This window comes from Homo sapiens, chromosome 5, assembly GCF_000001405.40.
Source record: "Homo sapiens chromosome 5, GRCh38.p14 Primary Assembly".
NCBI lineage: Eukaryota > Metazoa > Chordata > Mammalia > Primates > Hominidae > Homo > Homo sapiens.
Genome location: NC_000005.10, coordinates 1,433,517 through 1,454,047, shown reverse-complemented (window position 1 = coordinate 1,454,047; position 20,531 = coordinate 1,433,517). Strand labels below are relative to the sequence as shown.

The 20,531-nt window shown below is 52.2% G+C and overlaps 1 protein-coding gene across 1 annotated transcript in view, besides 2 other annotated features; it reads left to right on the top strand.

Annotated features, from left to right (window-relative positions):
* Positions 7,471-7,970: an enhancer, noted in NCBI's record as "H3K4me1 hESC enhancer chr5:1446193-1446692 (GRCh37/hg19 assembly coordinates)". NCBI's record gives its function as "activates a minimal SCP1, AML or CMV promoter by ChIP-STARR-seq in naive H9 embryonic stem cells {active_cell/tissue: H9 hESC(naive)}" and the evidence as "EXISTENCE:reporter gene assay evidence [ECO:0000049][PMID:30033119]".
* SLC6A3 (solute carrier family 6 member 3) overlaps positions 8,608-20,531 on the top strand; it is a 52,647-nt gene continuing 40,723 nt past the window's right edge. The window contains exons 1-3 of the mRNA NM_001044.5: positions 8,608-8,700; positions 10,806-11,136; positions 12,558-12,689. Of these exons, the coding sequence (NP_001035.1) occupies positions 10,851-11,136; positions 12,558-12,689 (418 nt within the window). The 5' untranslated portion in view covers positions 8,608-8,700; positions 10,806-10,850. The remainder of the gene's footprint in view (positions 8,701-10,805; positions 11,137-12,557; positions 12,690-20,531) is intronic.
* Positions 14,535-15,216: an enhancer, noted in NCBI's record as "H3K4me1 hESC enhancer chr5:1438947-1439628 (GRCh37/hg19 assembly coordinates)". NCBI's record gives its function as "activates a minimal SCP1, AML or CMV promoter by ChIP-STARR-seq in naive H9 embryonic stem cells {active_cell/tissue: H9 hESC(naive)}" and the evidence as "EXISTENCE:reporter gene assay evidence [ECO:0000049][PMID:30033119]".

Below are 20,531 nucleotides of genomic sequence, written 5' to 3'. Positions count from 1 at the left end.
CTCTGGTCCTCCTGGGCAGAGCTTAAAAGCAAAACCTGAAAGAATGACCAAACTACAACAGGGACCTTACCAGTGGCCAAAGACAAACTTCCAGAATATTCACATTAGTACAGTGTTATCCACAAACCAACAGGGTTAAATTCACAATGCTGGGCATCCACTGGAAATTAGCACAATGCAAAAAGGTGGGAAAATGTGACCTACAGTCAATAGAAACAGACCCAGAGATGACTCAAATGATAGAATTAGAGAGGCATTGACAATCATAACTGTTACCTCATTCCAAGAGCTAGCCAAAGGCGAGACTGAATATGTTTAATAGAGACATGACAGATATTTTTTAAAAGACACGAATCCAAATTCTAGAGATGAAAACCACAATGTCTCAGATGCAAAATGCACTGGTTGAGAGGAGGGGTGGATTCAACATCTCAGAAGAAAAGGATACATGAACTTGAAGACATAGATGGCAGTGCAAACTGTTCAAAATGAAATAAAGAAAAAAGACAAAAAAATGAACCAAGCATCAGAGAACTGTGGGACTTCAAGCCACCTAATATGCAAGCCATAGGAATCCTCAAAACAGATCATGTCTAAACAATGTCATTTTATGATAGCATCAGTTCACCAAAAGGACAAATGTTTATGTACCTAATAACATAGCTTCATAATGAATTCGGCAAAAACTGATAGAACTGCAAGGAGACATAGAGCAGTTCACACAATTATACTTGGAGATTTCAATACCTCTTTCCCAATAGTTGATAGAACAGATACACAGAAACTTTTAAGGATACAGAAGACTTCAAAAACAGTACGAACTAACATGACCTATTTGATATTTATACAATAATTCATCCAATAATAGCAGAGTGCACATTCTTTTCAAATGCATGTGAAAAGCTTACCAAGATCGACCACAGTCCAGACCATAAAATTCCCTTTAGGGATTCAGGTCATGTAAAGCAAGTTCTCCAACAAAGAGGCAAATAAATTTGATACCAAAATGAAAAATACATTTGGCAAAAAATAAAGAAGCATATCCAGACAATCTTCTAATATTTGGAAACTAATCACATATCTAAATAACAATGGGTCAAAGAGGACATCAAAAGGGAAATCAGAAAATATTTTGAACTGAATGAAAACAAAACAACATATCAAACCTTTTGGAATTTGGCTAAATCAGAACTTAGAAGAAAATCTAGACATGAAGCCTGCCTCAGAAAGGAATAATGATGAAAAATTGATGGCAGCCTCCACCCGAAGAAATCCCATGCGGGACTTTGGAAGAAATTGAAAAGTTGATTCCAAAATTCATATGAAAAAGCACAGGACCGAGAATATGCAAAACAACTTTGAAAATGAACAAAGTTGTCTGACTTACATTACCTGATTTAAAAATGTATTACAAAAGGACCATAATGAAGATAGTGCCATTTTAATCTCCTCAGGCTGCCACAACAAAATACACCAGATTTGGGGGCTTAACAGCAGACATTTGTTTCTCACAGTTCTGGAGACTGGAAATCCAACATCAAGGCAGCTGATTCAGTTCCTGGTGAGGCCTCTCTTCCTGGCTTGCAGATGGCCGCCTTCTTACTCTATCTTCACATGGCAGAAAGTAAAATGGAGAGAGCTTCCTCTTCTTATAAGGCCACAGTCCTCCTGGGTTATGACCCCACCCTTACAATTTAATTTAACCTAATCACCTCCTAAAGTCCCTATCTCCAGATAAAGTCACCTTGCGGGGGTTATGGCTTTAACCTATGAATTTGGGGGTAAACAATTCAGTCCACAGCAAGTGTGGTATTAGCATCAAAATGGATTAACAGATCATAAAACAGGGAGCCCAGAAATAAACCCACACACATACATACAACTGACTTTTCAACAAAGGTGCAAAAGCAACTCAGCAGAACACTGAACAACTGGCTCTTCGGAGGTAAAGTGGTGAACTTCAATTGGTGTCTTACACCAAGCTAGTTTAAAAATGCATTCTATGTGTAAATATGCAATCTATAATTTTAAAAAGTTTAGAGGAAAACTTAGGAGAAAATCTTGATGATCATGAATTTGGTAAAGATTTCTTAAATACAACACTAAAAGCAGGATTTGTGAAAGAAAAATGGATAAATTAGACTTCATCAAAATTAATAACTCTTCTCTGAAAGAATCTATTAAGAGAATGAAAAGACAGTCCAAGACTGGGAAAAATATTTGCAAAGTACCCATCTGATAAGGGACTGGTATCCAGAATAGTAAAGAACTCTCAAAGCTCAATTAAACAACCCAAAGGTGCAAAAGATTTGAACAGACACTTAACACGAAGTGGCACTGATGCAGCTAACACATGAGAAATTGTTCAAAGATCACGCTCATTAGAGCAGTATAGGAGATATTACTGTAAACATATTAGGATGTCTAAAATTTAAAAGACTGACCATACTAAGTATTCATTAGAATATGAAGTAACTAAAATTATCATACACTGTTCATGGAAATATAAAATGATACAACTACTTTGCAAAAGAATTTAACAGTTTTTAAAAAAATAGTTAAACATATATCTACCAAATGACCCAGCCATTCCACAACTAAGTACTTCTTACCTACCCCAAAGTAATGAGAGCCTATGTTCAAAGACTTGCACACAAATGTTCATAGTAGCTTTATTTGTAACAGCCAGATGTCCATCAATAGGCAGATGGAAAAGCCAAGTACATCATATCCCATATCCACACAATGGATACTACAAATAACTAAAAGGGAATTAACTGCCGATGCAATGATGTGGATTCTTCTCAAATATGCTGAATGCAAAAGAACAGACCCAGAAAACAGTACTTACTGTATAATTCTATTTATATAAAATTCTATTAAAAACACATTGTTCTGTAATCATAGAAAACAAATCATTCCAGCATTTTGGGAGGCCAAGGCGAGCTTATCACTTGAGGTTGGGAGTTCAAGACCAGCCTGGCCAACATAGTGAAACCCTGTTTCTACTAAAAATACAAAAATTAGCTGGGTGTGGTGGCGGGCATCTGTAATCCCAGCTACTTGGGAGGCTGAGGCAGGAGAATTGCTTGAACTGAGGAGGCAAAGGCTGCAGTGAGCTGAGATCGTGCCACTGCACTCCAGCCTAGGTGACAGAGTGAGACTCCGTCTCACAAAAAGAAAAAAAAAAAGAGCAAATCAGTGGTTGCCTGGGGATGGGAAGAGGTAAAGAGACACAGACAGAGGGAAGTCAGCGAGGGAGGAGCACCGCCATCATCTTCTGTGTGATCGCGTTGCCATGACCCCATCAGTCACTCACCAAATCGTACACTTGGAATATTGCATATCCATTACACCTCAGCAAGGCTGTTTTTAAAAAGACACAAATGCCGAGATAATTACAGAAAAAAAGTCCAATTAGTTTTGTTAGGATGGTGGAATCATGAAAGGCATCTCCTAGGTCCTCCAATGTTGTTCTTTTTCAAGATTCTTTTGGCTACTCTAGGTCACCCACATCTCCAAACACATTTTAGAACCAGCTGGTTAATTTCTTCAAAAAAGCAAGTTAGAATTTTGATTGAGATTGCATTGAATCTGTATGTCAATTTATGAAGAACTGACATCTCATTAATATTGAGCCTTTCAGTCATAAACATACACACTCCTCTGCTTGTCTAGACTTTCAAAAGTTTCTCACAGCAATGGATTCTAGGTTTTCGGTGCACAAGTCTCGGATACGGTTTATCCCCAAGCATTTTGTTTCGGATGCTATTGTAAGTGAAATTATTTTAGGTTTTATTTTAGAATTGTTTGCTGCCAGTACATAGAAATACAATTGGTTTTCATCAGATCCCATGGCCTTGCTAAATTCATTTATAAATTCTAGTAGTTTTTTTTGTAAATTCCTCAAGATTTTCTACAAACATGAAATCTACCAAGAAAAATCTTGTCATCAATATTTCAATTTTTTTGAAGCCTCCTGCTCTGTAGCCAGACCATTCGCCACTGCCTATGACTACATTTAGGGCCATCCTCTGGCCATCCCTCCTTGGCTAGATGATGAACCTGATGCATGGTTTGAATATGTGCCCACTGGGAAGCTTTCTTTCACTGGTCTTTCACAGAAGGCCATGATGACACAGCCTTTCACTTTCTGGTGGGGGCAGTGTGCTGTGTATAGACACATGTAATCCAGGCCCCAACGCATGCATTTTCTCCGTTCAATGTCATAAGAAACTCTCATGTAGCCAGAGGTCTGGGTTAAGGAAGCGGTCTCCATGCAGCAAGAGTGGGTGCTTGTTCATGGAACTTACCGCGCCTTCCAGACCTGCTCAAGCCTTGTGTCGTAAACATTCCACCTGAGGACGGCAGGATGCTGTCTACACAACCTCTGTGGGTCCGATAACAAATAGCTTCTGCTGGGCCGCTCAGCTTCTATGGTAACAGAGCTCCCTGAGTTTCTGCTATGGCTCAGGGCTGCTCTTACTCAAAAGGAGAGGACGTATTTTCAGGAGAGCGTTCAGCTCTTATTCAACTGTTATTTTCTGCGCTGCCTACAACATCTCCGTCTGCCACAGACCCTCCAATTCCCACTGGTTCTGCCAGATCAGTGTTCTCAAAGTGTGGTTCCTGGGCCAGCAGTGTCAGTGTCACCTGAGAACTTTCTAGAAACGCAGGTCCTCAGGTCCCACCTCAGACCTACTGAACCTGCGTCTCTAAGGATGGAGCGAGGTGATCTGTGCCTCCTATGCATGTAAAGGTTTATGTAGGTGACTGTGATGCCAGCTAAAGTCGGAGAACAACACCAGATTGTGTGGCCTCCTGGGGCAGCAGTTTGCCCATCCAGACCAGCAGCAGAATCTTTCTTACTCTGGGCCCTACTCAAAACCAAACGCTTTATGAAGAACACAAAACAGGCCAGAGAAGCATCCCCGAGTGTCTTGCACCTCACCTTGCAAACCGGAAGAGCCTCACCAGGTATGATACTTCTTTCTTAGTGGTAGTCTTGCTTGCCAGAGACAGCGTGTTTTCTTTCATTTTGGATATATATTTTGACCAATCAGACCAATGGACCCACAGAAAGTTCACCAAGGTGGCAGGTTTTGAAAATGTGTTATTTTCTCTTTCAATTTTTAGCAAGCACGTGTCTTACCAAGGCATCTTGGCATTTTTCATTTTTTGCTCCCCAGGTTGATTCAGCCTGATGTCATCAGTGTGGCAGACCACTGTGACATGCTGTGCAGTGGCAAGACCATCAAGATGTCTGTGACTAAAACCAGCAGTGAGCCGGAAAATGATACAGCTCTGAGAGAAGACATTGGAAGTGTACTGCTGTCCCTGCCATGCGAGAGGAAACTATCTTCCTCCTGAGGTGGCCCCCGGGGAGGGCACAGGGGTGCAGCAGTGAGCAGGGCCTCCTGCCTGGAGCCAGCGCCTTCCATCATTCTCAGAACCTGGACAGACAAGGTCTGGGATCTGACCTCCCACACCCCTGGACAAAAGCCACTCCTGCCTACTGGTCCCCTCACCCTTGCCCTCCCCAAGCCCCCTACCCCCAGGGCCTTCCCAGCACCAGTGAGAGGTCAGGGTCTTTAAAGTCTGAGCTGGGCTCCCTGGGACTTCCTCTGAAAGCACACAGGACACCCTCAATATAGTAAATACGCAGGCAGGTAAATGACTGTCATCTCACTGCCACTGTCCTTGTCCCCTCTCAGATACAGCACTCATGGGGGGAGCATCCACGCTGTCTTCCAAATCAGGCGAGACACGGCGCAACATCCAGCACTGAGGGCCTCCCAGGAGGCAGCACCCAAGGAGGGGGGGACCCGTGGGGCAAGGTTGCTTTGGAGACAGCAGTCAGTGGCCAGGGGCTCCTTGTGGGCTCTGCAGCTGCGGTCCCAGCCAGTGGGGAGAGGTGCCGAGCATGGGCAGGAAGTGCAGAGGCAGGGGGGCTCCACCTGCCTGCACCCAACGCCCTGAGCCCACAGCAGCCATAGCAGCAACCACAATGATAATAAAGCCGACTTGGCATTTAGGGCAAAGTTCCAAGCATGCAAAGGTCGGCCGTTTGATCAGGTCTGATCAGCTCATAACCACACTGCTTCTACCTGCACAGTTCACGGAGCATTCCTGTTGTGGGAGGATGGAGACCCATGGGTCTGGCAGCTGCGCTTTCTCTGTGTCATCCATGAGCCCAACTCCCGCAGTTAGTTTGTTCTTAGAGCACCCAAAGCTCCTTTATCCTAATTCATGTGGTTGGAAGTCGGGGTTGAGGCAGGGGTGGAGGAATGCTCTTTGTCTTGGCAGAGTGCAGGTTACATGCGTGTGATCACTCAGTGGCCCCTCCTGAGTGTGGCAGGTGCATTCTCTGTGTGCTACTGGTCAGTAAGGATGTGGCTGCCTGGATCTGTGTGACCTCTAGTCCCTGCACCTTCCTGCCTGTACCCTGTTAGCTTTGGGTCACAATTCTGCGCTCCTGCAGCGCTTGCAATCCCTTCCCAAACGCTGTTTGCCTGTGTGTTGTTTTGTTTCGAGACAGGGTCTCATCCTGTGGCCCATGGCGCAATCTCAGCTCACTACAACCTCCACCTCCCAGCTTCAAGCTATTCTCCCACCTCTGCCTCCCCAGTAGCTGGGACTACAGGTGTGGGCCACCATGCCTGGCTAATTTTTTTTTTCAAAGTCAGGGTTTTGCCATGTGGCCCAGGCTGGTCTCAAACTCCTGGCCTCAAGAGATCCTCCTTCCTCGGCCTCCCAGAGTGCTGGGATTACAAGCGTGAGCCCTCACTCCTGGCCTGTGTATTTTTAATATACCTGAACATCCATTCTCTCTGTGTGTTTTATTTAACAGCCTCCCTTAGTCACCTGCAAAGTCTTTTCCTTGGGAGACTGTTTCCTCAACCCTGCTGCTCTGGGGCCAAGCCCTGGCTCACTCCTTTTTATTGAAACCTGTGCCATGGAGATAATAGGGGTAGAGAGATCCCTTCTGTGGCAGCCACTGACACACTACAGCTTCGAGGTGGCACATCCCCCTCTCCTGAAGTCCCCTCACCTCCCTGGCGATGAAGTCCCACCCCTGATGGGAGGTGGTGTCAGGAGGCCTTCAGGTGGTCAGGCCAGGAGGGCTCCACCCTGAGGAATGGGACCAGTGCCCTCATAAAACAGACCCCGGAGAGCTCTCCCCAGCCCCTAGCGTGGGGAGATACAGGGAGAGAACTGTCTGCAACCCCGAAGCGGCCCTCACCAGACACAGAGTCGGCCAGGCCTTGGCCTCGGGACACCGGAACCGTTAGAACTGAAGGCTTCTGTGTGAGCCCCCAGGCTGTGGAGTTTTTTGTCATGGCAGCCCCAGGGGGTCACTAGGCTCCCACTTGATTCCAACTCAGCGTGAAGTCACAGCCCTGAGTGCCTTCTGCCTGGGTGCCAGCCCCGGAGCCGGGGAGCGGGGGAGCGGGGGGCGGGGAGGGGAGTGGTGGTGTGCGGGGAGTGCGGGGCGGGCGCAGGGGGTGGGGCACCGCGCTGCGGGCGGGTACTGCGGAGTCAGGCACCAAGGGTCCCTGCCTCCCTCACTGCTGAGCGCGGGCTGCAGGCTGGAATGGCTGGAGAGCCCCAGGGCTCGCCTGGACGCCCAGGGCAGGGTGCTCACGGGAGCATCGAGGGTACACGGGGAGGAACGCCGGGGTTCGGGCGACCCTAGGGGCGACGCACAGAGCTGGGCGCGGCCACTCACCTCGGTGCCTTCTAAGGACCTGGACATCCTGGGCCTTGGCGGCCTGGGGGCTCCATTCCTCCGCGCGCTGAATGGAAGAAATCCCGCCCGGGCATCTCGGAAGGAAAGCCTCGGAGTCCATTCGGCCCTGGAGCCGGATACCAACCGCCAGGGCTTTCCAGGCCCGTCCCGGGAAATGGTTTTCTTAGGCGAGTGCGAGGCGGGCCCCTCGGTTCCGATGCAGGCGCACTAGATGCCGGCAAGGCGGGGACTAGGCCTAGGGGACCTCGGTCGCCTCGAGGTCGCGGAGACCCCAAGGCCACGGAAGGACCCGCGTCTCCGCAGCCCGCACGCCGGGAAGCGTGCAGAGTCCTCGGCGGGGTCCCGAGCCCGCTGGTCAGAGCGTGGAGCGGCGGGGTGGGAGGGACGTGGTCCCCAGAGCGCGGGGCCACCGTAGGGGCCCCTGATGGGGAGGGAGGGAAGGGTCGGCCCGACGGGGTCCCAGCAGTTCCCCGCGCGCAGCCGCTCGGCTCCCTCCCCGTCCAGCTGGGAGCCGCCAGCCCTGGGCGTCCGAAGATAGCGGGTGCCCGGGGCAGCCCCCAGGGGTGCGGGCGAGGGCGCAGGGCGGCCCAGACAGTTCCCGCGTGGAAGGCGCCCGTCTAGATCCGCGACGTCTCGGACCCCCAGGCCCCCGCACCCCGTGTCCGAGGCTCCGGGACGCGCAGGACAGTGGAGCCGTGGCCGCCGCTTGCTCCCAGCCATCTGCGTCCGGGAGGCGGGGGCGGGGGCGCGGCCCGGGGAGGTGAGGAGGAGGAGCCAGGACGCGAGGGCGACCCCGTCGGCGGGAGGGCGGGGCGGGGCGGACCCTGTCTACTGGATAAGAGCCCGAGGCCGAGGCTGAGACCGCCCAGCGCTGCGGAGCGGGAGGGGAGGCTTCGCGGAACGCTCTCGGCGCCAGGACTCGCGTGCAAAGCCCAGGCCCGGGCGGCCAGGTGAGGCCAGCGTCGCTCGCGGCATCGGGGCGCCCCGCTCCTTCCGCAGACCCCGAAGTGGGGCGCAGGGGCGGGGGCCGGGGACCGGGCACAGTCTGGGGTCCCCGCGTCCCGCAGACCGCGCCGTCTCCAAAGTCGCCAACAGTCGCGGGTGCCGAGCGCCCCCCGATAGCGCCACATGGGACCCTGAGGCCGTCCGAGGCGCGAGGAGGGTGCAGGGCTGCCCCTGGCCCCGCTCCAGGCTCAGAACCGGGTGGGCACCTGGTGCAGTCACCGGCTTAGGGGACGCGTGGGTGTCTATGGCTGTGACTCGGGGGTCCTGGTTTCTTCTCGTGGAACTTAACCCTACTAGGGGTGCGGCGCATCCCAGATCCGATCGGAGTGGGTTTTGTACACCGCCGCTCCATCTCGCGGGGGCTTTGTCTGTGTTGGGGGTGGTGGCGGGCGCGGGCTGCGCGCTGGTGCTCTGGGCAGGGCGGGGAGGCCGGGCGAGGACTCGCCAGGCAGCGCCGCTTCTTGTTCTGGGCGCGGTGAGGAAGGACGCTTTCTAACGGGCCACATTTTGCTGTGTAGACCCAAAACTCGCCTCTGAGGCCCCGCGTTCAGGAGCGGGGTCAGGTGGCCCCAGGGCGGCGGCGGCTTGCCGGAGACTCGCGAGCTCCGCACCCGACGCCCTCTCCCAACGCGGCCTCCTGCTCGCGCCGCGGAACCCCTTCGTCGGGTGTTTTACCCACCGGAGGGGTCGTGCCGGTTGAGGTTGTCACCGGGTGCGTGGCATAGCTCGTGATAGCTCATGGGTGAGGTTTTGTGCAAACTTGGATGCAGGGAAAGTTGCCTGTTAGAGCCTCCACCTGCGACCTGCTTCAGTCGTTGTGTGTGTGTGCGCACCTGTGTGAGTGTGAGTGTGTATGTGTGTAAGTGTATGTGCTCGCCTGTGTGTGTGTGAGTGTGTATGTGTGTTTGTGAGTCTGTGTGTGTCTGTGTGTCTGTGTGTGCGTGCGCTCGACTGAAACACGCTGCTGCTGGATCCAAATGACAGAAGTCGCCCTGGCTGGGGCGGTGTAGACGCTCCTGCTCTCCTGCTCAGCGTTGCAGGGGGGTTTATGTAGCCGTTTGGACAGGATTTCCCGGGTTACCCTGCTGGCCCAGGAGCTAGTTCCCGCGATGAAGCCCTGTCCATCCTCCGCCCAGCTCTCTCACGCGGGGTGGTGCCACCTGCCCTAGGTGGATGTGGCTTGTACAGACACTTTTTGAGGAAGCAGTTGTGATGGTTATGTCTAAACTCTCTTTACAGTGGCTGATTTTGCTTATATAAATTTTGCTCTTTATTACTGAGTATAAACAATACAAGCCCAGGCTTGGTGGCTCATGCCTGTCATCTCAGCACTTTGGGAGGCTGAGGCAGGAGGATCGCTTGAGACCAGGAGTTCAAAACCAGCCTTGGCAACAATAGTCAGACCCTGTCTCTACAAAAAAACAACAACAACAACAAAAAAACACACACAAAAATAACTTAGCCGGTGCTGTGGTGCACACCTGTAGTCTCAGCTGCTCAGGAGGCTGAGGTGCAAGGATCACTTGAACCTAGGAGGTTGAGGCAGTGAGTTGTAATCACAACTGTATTCCATCCTGGGTGACAGAGCGAGACCTCATGTTAAAAAAGAAAAAAAAAAGAAAAAAGAATACAGATGAACAGTCATGAAGACATTATTGAATGCTCTTAGAAGATTGTAAAATTGCTCTCTGGAAGTGTGGGGGAAGGTGGAAGTGATATCCATGCATTGTTAGTAGAAAGCCACGCTAGAGCTCACACAGCCTTGCACTTTGATAGGAGTGGGGAGGGGTGCAGGGGAAGGAGGAGCAAACCAGAGTGTCTGTCTTGAGGCCTCCATGGGCCAGTGCCCCAGCCCTGTGGTGAGGGCTGGCACTTCCCAGCTCCCGTGCCCCAGCTGTACCATCTCAGGCGCTGAGAACGCACCCATCCCTTCCCAGAGGAATGCCCGTGAATGCCTCGGGGCTCTGCCCTCCGCACCAGGTATGTCCCTAGCCCTGGCTGCTGAATTGTTGCGTTCCTGTTGTGTGTTTATTTTTCATATTGGCTGAAGACCAAGAGGGAAGAAGCACAGAATTCCTCAACTCCCAGTGTGCCCATGAGTAAGAGCAAATGCTCCGTGGGACTCATGTCTTCCGTGGTGGCCCCGGCTAAGGAGCCCAATGCCGTGGGCCCGAAGGAGGTGGAGCTCATCCTTGTCAAGGAGCAGAACGGAGTGCAGCTCACCAGCTCCACCCTCACCAACCCGCGGCAGAGCCCCGTGGAGGCCCAGGATCGGGAGACCTGGGGCAAGAAGATCGACTTTCTCCTGTCCGTCATTGGCTTTGCTGTGGACCTGGCCAACGTCTGGCGGTTCCCCTACCTGTGCTACAAAAATGGTGGCGGTAAGTCCCATCTCAGCCTCCCTGAGCATGCTGGCCGGGCGGGGGTCGTAGGGGCAGCCGGGGCCAAGGCACGTACGGAAACGAGATGAAGCTGTTCCCATGCGTGAAGACGGAGCTCCCTGTGAGAGCTCACGGCCGGTGCAGATCCTCCCAGAGGATGTCACAAAACCATTGAGCAGGACTCGGAGCTGCCTTGTCCCACGCCTGCATTTCAGAGTTTAGGAAAGGGAGGCCCGCGAAGAAGCTGGGGGGTGGGGGGCGGCAGACGGGGCAGCTTGGCTCTGCCTCCTGTTTCCAGAGGCTATCTTCGCTTTGGAAAGAAAATTCTCAAAGGTCCAAAGAACAGCCTGCGGCTGACTTTGGCAGCCTTTGCAAAGCATGTGGAGGCCCTGGAGCCTGGAGTGGCAGAGGAGGCCCCTGGAAAGTGACTGTGTCCCCTGCACCCTCCAGAACCCAGCCACAGAGCCAGAAAGCGAAGATCGAGGCAGGGCCACCGGGGACGTCCAAGAACATTGGTGATCCCTTCCCAGGAGCCTCTTTGGGCCTCCCAGCCTCCCTGCCTGGCCTCCCTCATTGGCCTCTATGCTAGGTCTGGGAAGGGAGGCCTGGGGAAGAATCTGGGGGGAAGCCTCACAGGATGCCTGCGAGGAGGCTGGCATTTTTATGCCCATCTTGAAGAGGGGAAGACAGAGGCCTCAGCAGGTACAGGAAGTTGCCCAAAGACAGAGCTGAGGGGCCCCATGCCTCCCCCTCCCCTTCCCCAGGAGAGAGAGTGGCAAAGCTCTCCCTCACTCCAGTCAGACCAGGGGAGCAGAGGGAATTTAGGAGGTTGAGACCAGGGTTCCCTGGGCTTTGTGCTGGGGGTGGGGGAGGTGCAGGTTTCAGAGGAACTAGGCCTTACCCTGGAGGGGCTCCCAGCACCTGGGGCAGCAAAGACCCTCAGCCACAGTCAATAGGGGCAGCCTCTGAGGGCCCCAGAAGCTGGGGACAGGACGGCAGGGCCCACTCAGCTCAGGGGCAGAGTTGGGGGGTCACAGATTCACAACTCAAGAGGCAAAGAGGATCAGGGCAAAGTGGGGGGACGCAGGCCAGGGAAGGGCACCCCGAACCACCACGGGGAAGGATAGTACCTAGAGCACCGCTGAGCATGGGCAGGGCCTCCCTGTGCTGCTCTTGGGTTTGACTTCATGGCTCGAGGTGCGCAATGACAAGGGGATCCAGGAGGGACGTGTCAGGCACTGACAGCAGTGGAGGGCGGGCTTCGGGACTCATCTACCCTAGCCTGGGACTTCCCGTTGGAGAGTGGGGTGAAACGGTCGGGCCAGGACATGGATGGTTGACTGGGGTAGCCGCCCAAGCTCCCACGAGGAGAGATGGGCCCTTCCGAGGCCCCAAACTAAAGGTGCTTTTCTGCCCCACAGGTGCCTTCCTGGTCCCCTACCTGCTCTTCATGGTCATTGCTGGGATGCCACTTTTCTACATGGAGCTGGCCCTCGGCCAGTTCAACAGGGAAGGGGCCGCTGGTGTCTGGAAGATCTGCCCCATACTGAAAGGTAATATGCGGGTGCCTCCCTTCACCCTGGCGCAGCGCGGATCATGGTGGTGACGCTGGAGCTTTCAAAGCAAGCCAGCCGCATCATGGGCATCCAGCCCTGCTTTGCTAAGACACAGGCATGGCACACGCCACTTGAACTTGGGTCCCACCTTAAAGATCTGCAGTGACAAGGACTGGATAGTTCATTCCCTTGCTCTAGGTGAGGGTCCTGCAATTCATTTGTGGTGTTACTTTGTCAAGATGCTAAAATGTAGTTAAGATAAAACACATGTCTATCTATGGATCTGCCATCTACCTATCATCCATCGGTCCATCCGTCAATCATCTGTTATCTATCTATCCATTATCTATCTTTATTATTGGTCTTTATATCAATCATTCACCCATCTATCTACCTATCTACCTAATCCATCCATCTATCATCATCATCTATCTGTATCTGTTTCCTGTGGCTGCTGTAACAAATGACACAAACTGGGAGGCTTAAAAGGCACACGTTTATTGTCTCACAGCTCTGGAGGCTGGAAGTCCAAGATCAAGGTGTCTGTAGGGTTGATTTCTTCTGAGGCTGTGAGGAAGCATCTGTTCTAGCCTCTCTCCTTGTCTCAGAGATTGTCTTCTCCCTGTGCCTCTTTATACTTCTTGCTTCTATGCATATCTCTGTAACCAAATTCCCCGTTTTTATGAGGCCAGAAGTCCTGTTGGATTAGGGACACCCTAATGACCTCACTTTAACTTGATCACCTCTGTAAAGACCTTGTCTCTAAATAAAGTCACATTCTGAGGTTTGCGGGGTTAGAACTTCAACAGATGAACTTGGGGGAGGGACACATCCCACAATTCTATCTATCTATTATCTGTCAATCATCTATTCACCCGTCTGTCATCTACCCATTCATCCATCTATTTTCTTTTGATCCATCCACCTATCAATCCATTCATCCACCCATCCAGTCATCCATCCATTCATCTATCTATGGATCTATCATCCATCCATCCATCCATCCATCCATTATCTATTGATCCATCCATCTACCTATCGATCCATCTATCTATCCATCCATCCATTCATTCATCCATTCATCTATCTATGGATCTATCCATCCATCCATCTTCTATCTATTCATCTATCCATTCATCCATCTGTTATCCATTGTTCCATCCATCCATCCATTCATCTATGTATGGATTAATCCATCCATCCACCTATCGACCTATCCACCTATCTACTAGCTATTGATCCATCTAGTTGTCACTGAACCTTTCCGGCTGCTGATGTCCTGCTCTGGCACCATGAAATGGACACACCTCGTGTTGAGTGCAGGTGGCCTGCCCAGCACCAAGCCCTCTCCCAGCATTTCTGACTCCATCTTCATGAGACCCTGGGAAGGGCACACACTAGGTCTCTGTGTTGGAGATGCAGATGCTGAGGACCAGAGGGCCGGGGTCGTTCCCCCTGGTGTCCCCATCAGAGCAGAGTGGGATTTGATCCCAGACGTTTCTGACTCCCCAATCCCTGCACGCAGGTCACACTTGCCCAGTGGGCCAAAGCCACCTCTCAGGGGCTGGTGGTTCAGGGAGGATTCAGGCATTTACTCAGAGGCACCACTCAGAAAATTGGCATTAAGAAAATGACTACTAGAAGGTCAGCCTCTGGATACTCATAGAAGTTCTGGAAAAGCTGTGTGTTTAGAAGACAGCCGAGCCCAGCACGGCCCCAGGACGCATTACCAATGGGTCAGGGGTGGGCCTTCAGAGGCGAGCCGCTGACCTCCCTTAGGAGAGGGAACAGATGGCATTTCACAGCTGCTGAGGTCAGGCTCCAGGAGGAGAAGTCAGTCTCGCAGCCGTGGAAATGCTGAGACTGGACAGGTGTGATGGTTCTTCCCAGGCACGAGACTCATTCGTTCTTAATGGGCTGCTTAGTGAATCTTATGACTTCAGTAATTTCTTCCTGGGCTCCACATTCACTGGACTGCACTGAAATGGAGCTACAAAAAGAGGCCTCCCTCCCCACCCCCACCCCCACCCCCACCCCACACACATCTTCAGAGTGAGAGACAGATGCTTTGGGCATGCACTGGTGCCAGACGACCCCTTGGCGGGATCTGCAGGTAGAAGTCAAACCGTACAAGAATTGCTCAGAACATGCCTCCGTCCCCGTCGTCAGGTCCCTGATATCAGGTCCCCAATGGAAGAATGCAGCAGCCAACGGAAGACCCAGGCCTGTTGTTACAGACAGACAGGGGCGCGTGTCAAATCCGGCGTTGCAGTGAACCCAGGCTAACAGTTCAAGACACACGCGTTACCTGTGTCCTGCCTGGCCCTGGCCAGCGGCACGGACGTGTTTCAGAGAGGAGTGCTGCCTCTGAGCCTGCAGTCGTAAGCGATGCTGAGCTTGCACCGTGGTCCGTGTTGGAGAGTATCTGAGGGCTCAGAGCCTTGGGATGCTGAGTCAGAGATGAAGCCGGCCCACTGGGGTAGGGGAAACTGAGGAAAGATGACATTGTGCTCTGGCACAGGCTGCAGCGACATCCAACTGTGCTTTGCTGGATTTTCAAGAGCCACCCTGGAGTCTGTCACAAGTGTCTTACAAGGCACAGCCCTGTGCCCCACTCCCGCCAGTGAGCCTGGTGTTGGAGCAAGTTAAATCACCTCTTCACGTGCAGGATTCAGGTGAGGAGGGCAGGAGAAAAAGGGACCTGTAGGTCCGCAGATAAGAGCTCATTTCCTTCCGTCTGTCACACAGAAAGGATGTTCACCAACAAAGCTGCCGTTGTGGGTCTTCATGGTGTAGTCCATAAAATGTCAAGAAGCAATTTCTAAGAATTTCAGAGCACCAACTCAACTTGGGCTAGTAGAGAACCTCTGACTTCCATCAGCGTGAGCAGTGGCACCTCGTTCTGAAGAAATGCAGCCGGCGGATGTGGGCATATCATCGTGTTCTCCACAATGCGCAGCCGGGGTAAGCTGGGCAGTCGTCTCCTCTGTGTCACAGACCCTGTGCCCACAATCCCGCATTCCATGCCGCCAGCTTCGTTCTGAAGACTAGTCCCAGAGGAGGGCTGCAAAGTGTGGCCGCAGGAAGGAAGGCTCGTGGCCCTGCGGGCGGATCTTTGGAAGAGCTTGTTCACACTCACCTAGTCCTGGTGAGGAAGGAAAATTGCAAATCACAGAAAGTGAACTGTTCGACCCACGAAGGGATAGATGAATCAGTGCAAGAAAGCTGGACTTCTTTTTAGAGACGAGACACCTTGAGTTGTTGAATCTCAGTAACGCTGCAGGTTCCGGTGCCAGCGTCCCGTTTGTTCTGCCTACCTGTCAAGCGCAGGATGCCAGTTTAGAGGAGACTGACATTGCTTATGAAATCAGATGTACACCATGCACCCCCGGCACCCTGATACATGTGCCTTTGTCCTTTTTAAAAATCTGGTTAATAAAAATGCATACGTTTTCATGTCTCATTGAATAGAAGTGCCACGTGGTAAATTAAGACATCAGCTAAAGTGCCCACAACAATCATTGTGGAGCTAAAAGGCCATCCAGCCCTGAGCAGGTGGCAATTCCATGGGGGAATGAAGCCAGCTCTCCAGGAAGCCTGGTTGTTCCTGGCCCTTCCCCTCCTGCAGACCTGCGAGCTGCTCCCTGCTCCTAACTGGGAGCCAAGATCCACCCTTGAAAGCCAGAGGGCGGAGTTCATGGTGAGGCCCAGCTGCTCAGCAGCCATGACTCACGTGCATTTCCCGTAGTCTCACCAGAGCAGCTTGGGATGGGCACCACAGCCAGAGGGGCCTCTGGGGCCTTCAGCCCCGCAGTGCACCCCAGGGTCCTGAGAGGTGGGTCTTTAAAACTCTCCGTCTCCTCCCTTCCCCTCGCTCTCTTTCCCTCTCCCTGTGTCTCTTTCTGTCTCTCTCCCTCCTTTCCTCTCTGTGTCTCTCCTGTTCTGTCTCTTCTCCTCTCTGTCTCTCTCCTGTTCTGTCTCTTCTCCTCTCTGTCTCTCGGGTACATGCACACACAGCAAGCACATACTAAAGACACCCAGACTGACACAGAGAGGCGTCCTCTCCCCTCTTTCTTTTCTTTTCTTTTCTTTTTTTTTTTTTTTGTGAGACGGAATCTCGCTCTGTCACCAGGCTGGAGTGCAAAGGCGCGATCTTGGCTCACTGTCACCTGCGCGTCCCGGGTTCAAGCGATTCTCCTGCCCCAGCCTCCCGAGTAGCTGGGGCTACAGGTGCGTGCCACCACGCCCCGCTAATTTTTTGTATTTTTAGTAGAGACGGGGTTTCATCGTGTTAGCCAGGATGGTCTCGATTGCCTGACCTCATGATCCGCCTGCCTTGGCCTCCCAAAGTGCTGGGATTACAGGAGTGAGCCACCGTGCCCGGCCCTCTCCCGTCTTTCTTCCAAAGACCTGCTTGATGCCTCCTGTGAGGTATGGAGGGGCTGCTCCACCAGAGGCTTCCTCCAGCGGGATCCGTGCATGCGTTGACAACACCCTCTCCTGAAGCCAGCTCTCGTGGGTGCCCTGGGGTGTACTGGTGTTCAGGGGTGGGGCAGGGTGGCCGTGCTCTGGTGGGCGAAGCACCATTTGCAGGCACGACCCTCAGCCAGCTTCTGTTTGTCAGGTTTCGGTTTCATTGCCAAGGGCAACCCCATTTTACAGACGCCCTGGAAACCCCACCATTCGATTGTATTGAATATAAAATATTTTATAGTCAGTCATATTTTAGTGTGATTTCTCAAACACAAAACAAACTACACACAAGGTTAATATAAAGAAAAAGATACTAAGCAAAAATAAATTTAAGGAAATGGGCCTTAAAAGCTATGCTTGAAATTCACACTTAGCGCCGAGCTTCCTGGGAGTCAGACAGGAGGGAAGGGAAGCGCCATGTTCTCATGAATGTTTTCCCTGGAAACGCGAGCAGGGACTTTGCCTGCCACCTCCTTGGGGAGACAGTCTCCCGTGTCACTAAATGGTGTTTAAGAAATGTGTCAGGTGAAGCTTCATCTGGAGCCCACAGTGATGTCATGAGCAGAGATCACTAGAAGGTTCTGTAGCCAACAGGGTAGTGGGTTTCCTGCGTCTGGGCCTTCGGTGAGCTTGAGGAGCTCGTGGTGAAGTTGGCTGGTTGGTGAGGGGCTACACGTCAGTGGCCCAGGTCACGGGCTCTGCCTTCCTGAAGGGCAGGGCTTGGAGCAACCGAATGCCTGGCCAGTGCTGACAGTGGCCACTACCGTTCAAGGGAGCCATTTCCTCACCCAGGTGCCCAGGGAAGCATCCAGGAGGGGACTGGCCACCACCGTTCAAGGGAGCCATTTCCTCACCCAGGTGCCCAGGGAAGCATCCAGGAGGGGACTGGCCACCACTGTTCAAGGGAGCCATTTCCTCACCGAGGTGCCCAGGGAAGCATCCAGGAGGGGACTGGCCACCACCGTTCAAGGCTGTTTCCTCACCCAGGTGCCCAGGGAAGCATCCAGGAGGGGACTGGCCACCACCGTTCAAGGGAGCCATTTCCTCACCCAGGTGCCCAGGGAAGCATCCAGGAGGGGACTGGCCACCACCGTTCAAGGGAGCCATTTCCTCACCCAGGTGCCCAGGGAAGCATCCAGGAGGGGACTGGCCACCACTGTTCAAGGGAGCCATTTCCTCACCCAGGTGCCCAGGGAAGCATCCTCAACCAGGAGGGGTCCTCTTGGTAAGGGGGACTCTGGTGTGGGGGCTGCACTGTCCCATGGATCAGAGCAGGCCCATTTGCTCTGGGAGCCGCATCAGCCAGTGTGGCCAGTGGTGATGTCATGCACAGTGGCCATGGTGATGTCATGCTCCCATGGTGGCCCTGCCAATCTGTGGTGCAGGGCAGGAAACAAAAGCAGTGGCTCTGGAAGGACCCAGGGTACACTCAGCCCTTCCTTCGGACTCTGGATTGGGATCCACTCTGGTGTTGTTTGATCAAGGACTTCCCAGGGTTTCAAGCTAAGGACTTGATACAGAAAGTTTTAACCTTGAAAAATTTTCAAATTGGGCATCCATTGTCAGTTACCACCATGGAAAACCCTCCACAGTGCTCTCTGGAAACAATGTGGCTCACCGACAGTGTGGCTCCCAACCTGGCTGCCTGGGTGAGTTCACTGTGGATCACAACCCAGCCTCTCTCCTAAGGGACTCCGGACAGACGGTAATATAGAATTATTTAATATGGACCAGATCCACGTGGGAGAAGGCCTTCCAAAGGCAATCCGTGACAGACTGCAATACAGAATTATTTAATATGGACCAGATCCATATGGGAGAAGGCTTTTCAAAGGCAATCCATGACAGACTGCAATACAGAATTATTTAATATGGACCAGATCCACATAGGAGAAGACCTTCCAAAGGCAGCAGCTTGGCTTTCATCGTCACCACTACTGAGCATGCTTTCCAAGGGGGATTACCCGCACTCCTGATCTTAGATTTGTTTAAAACAAAGTTTTGAGTCTTCTTTTTGCTTTCAAGGTAGGAAGAGAACTTTACTGAGGTGCCCTGAGCATGAGAACAGCTTCTCCTAAGGATTGAGACTATAAAAAGCAACCCAGGCCACCCCCTGCAAAAGTCACCTTGAAGGTATGCTCCTACCCCGGCCATGAACAGGCAAGACGGCATGGTGCCTACTGGGTTTTAATAAAGTAAATCAAAGTTGTACCCAAACTAATCATGTCAGTAAACTGAGAAGAAATGTGGAAATGAAAAAAATTCTTCCTGGAGCTTAGTAAAGTGAACCCCAGTAGCAAGAACGTGATGGTGCCCATCCAGCAGTGAACAAGGAGGAAGTCATCTGACCACCAGGCCCATCTGCCCACCAGTCAGGCTGACACCACTCCAAAGACTGCTGACCACTGAGTTCTGTTCCAGTTTACCAGGAGACCCCATAAATGATGGATCCCAAATTCCAGGTCTGTGATCCTGGAAAGGACACTCTAAAAGACCGTGGATGGCATTGCATGGCCATGGATGGCCCTGGCTGGTCCTTGATGGTCTTGCATGGCCCTGGAAGGCCTCGGAAGGTCAAACATGGCTCTGAGTAGTCCTTCATAGTCATGCAAGGCTCTGGGTGGCCCAAGGAAGCCCTGGATGATCTTACCTGCCCTGGGTGGACCCTGGTGGTCTTACGTGGCCCTGGGTGATTCTAGGAAACCCTGGATGGTCATGCATGGGTAGTGTGACCTTGGATGGCTCCACATGGCTGTAAATGAGCTCAGATGACTCTTCTGAGTAGTCTTGCAGGAGAGGCATGAGCAGCTATAGATGGCCACAGATGGCCATAGATGGCTATGGATGGCTCTGGATGGCCATGGGTGGCTGTGGATGGCCATGGGTGGCCGTAGATAGTTATGGGCAAATGCAGATGGCTGTGGATGGCTGTGGATGTCTGTAGATGGCTGTGGATGGTTTTGAATGGCAATGGATTGTTGTGGATGGCCGGGTGGATGTGGGAGGTTGTGGACAGCCATGGATGACTATGGATGGCTGTGGATGGATGTGGATGGTTGTGGTTGGGTGTGGATGGTTGTGGATGGTTGTGGATGGATGGATGGTTGTGGATGGCCGTGGATGGATGTGGGTGGCCATGAATGGTTGTGGATGGCTATGGATGACCATGGATAGTTGTGGATGTCTGTAGATGGCTGTGGATGGTTGTGAATGACAGTGGATTGTTGTGGATGGCCAGGGGTGGATGTGGATGGCCATGGATGACTGTGGATGGCTGTGGATGGATGGATGGTTGTGGATGGCTGCGGATGGATGTGGATGGCCGTGGATGGCCATGAATGGTTGAGGATGGCTATAGCTGACCGT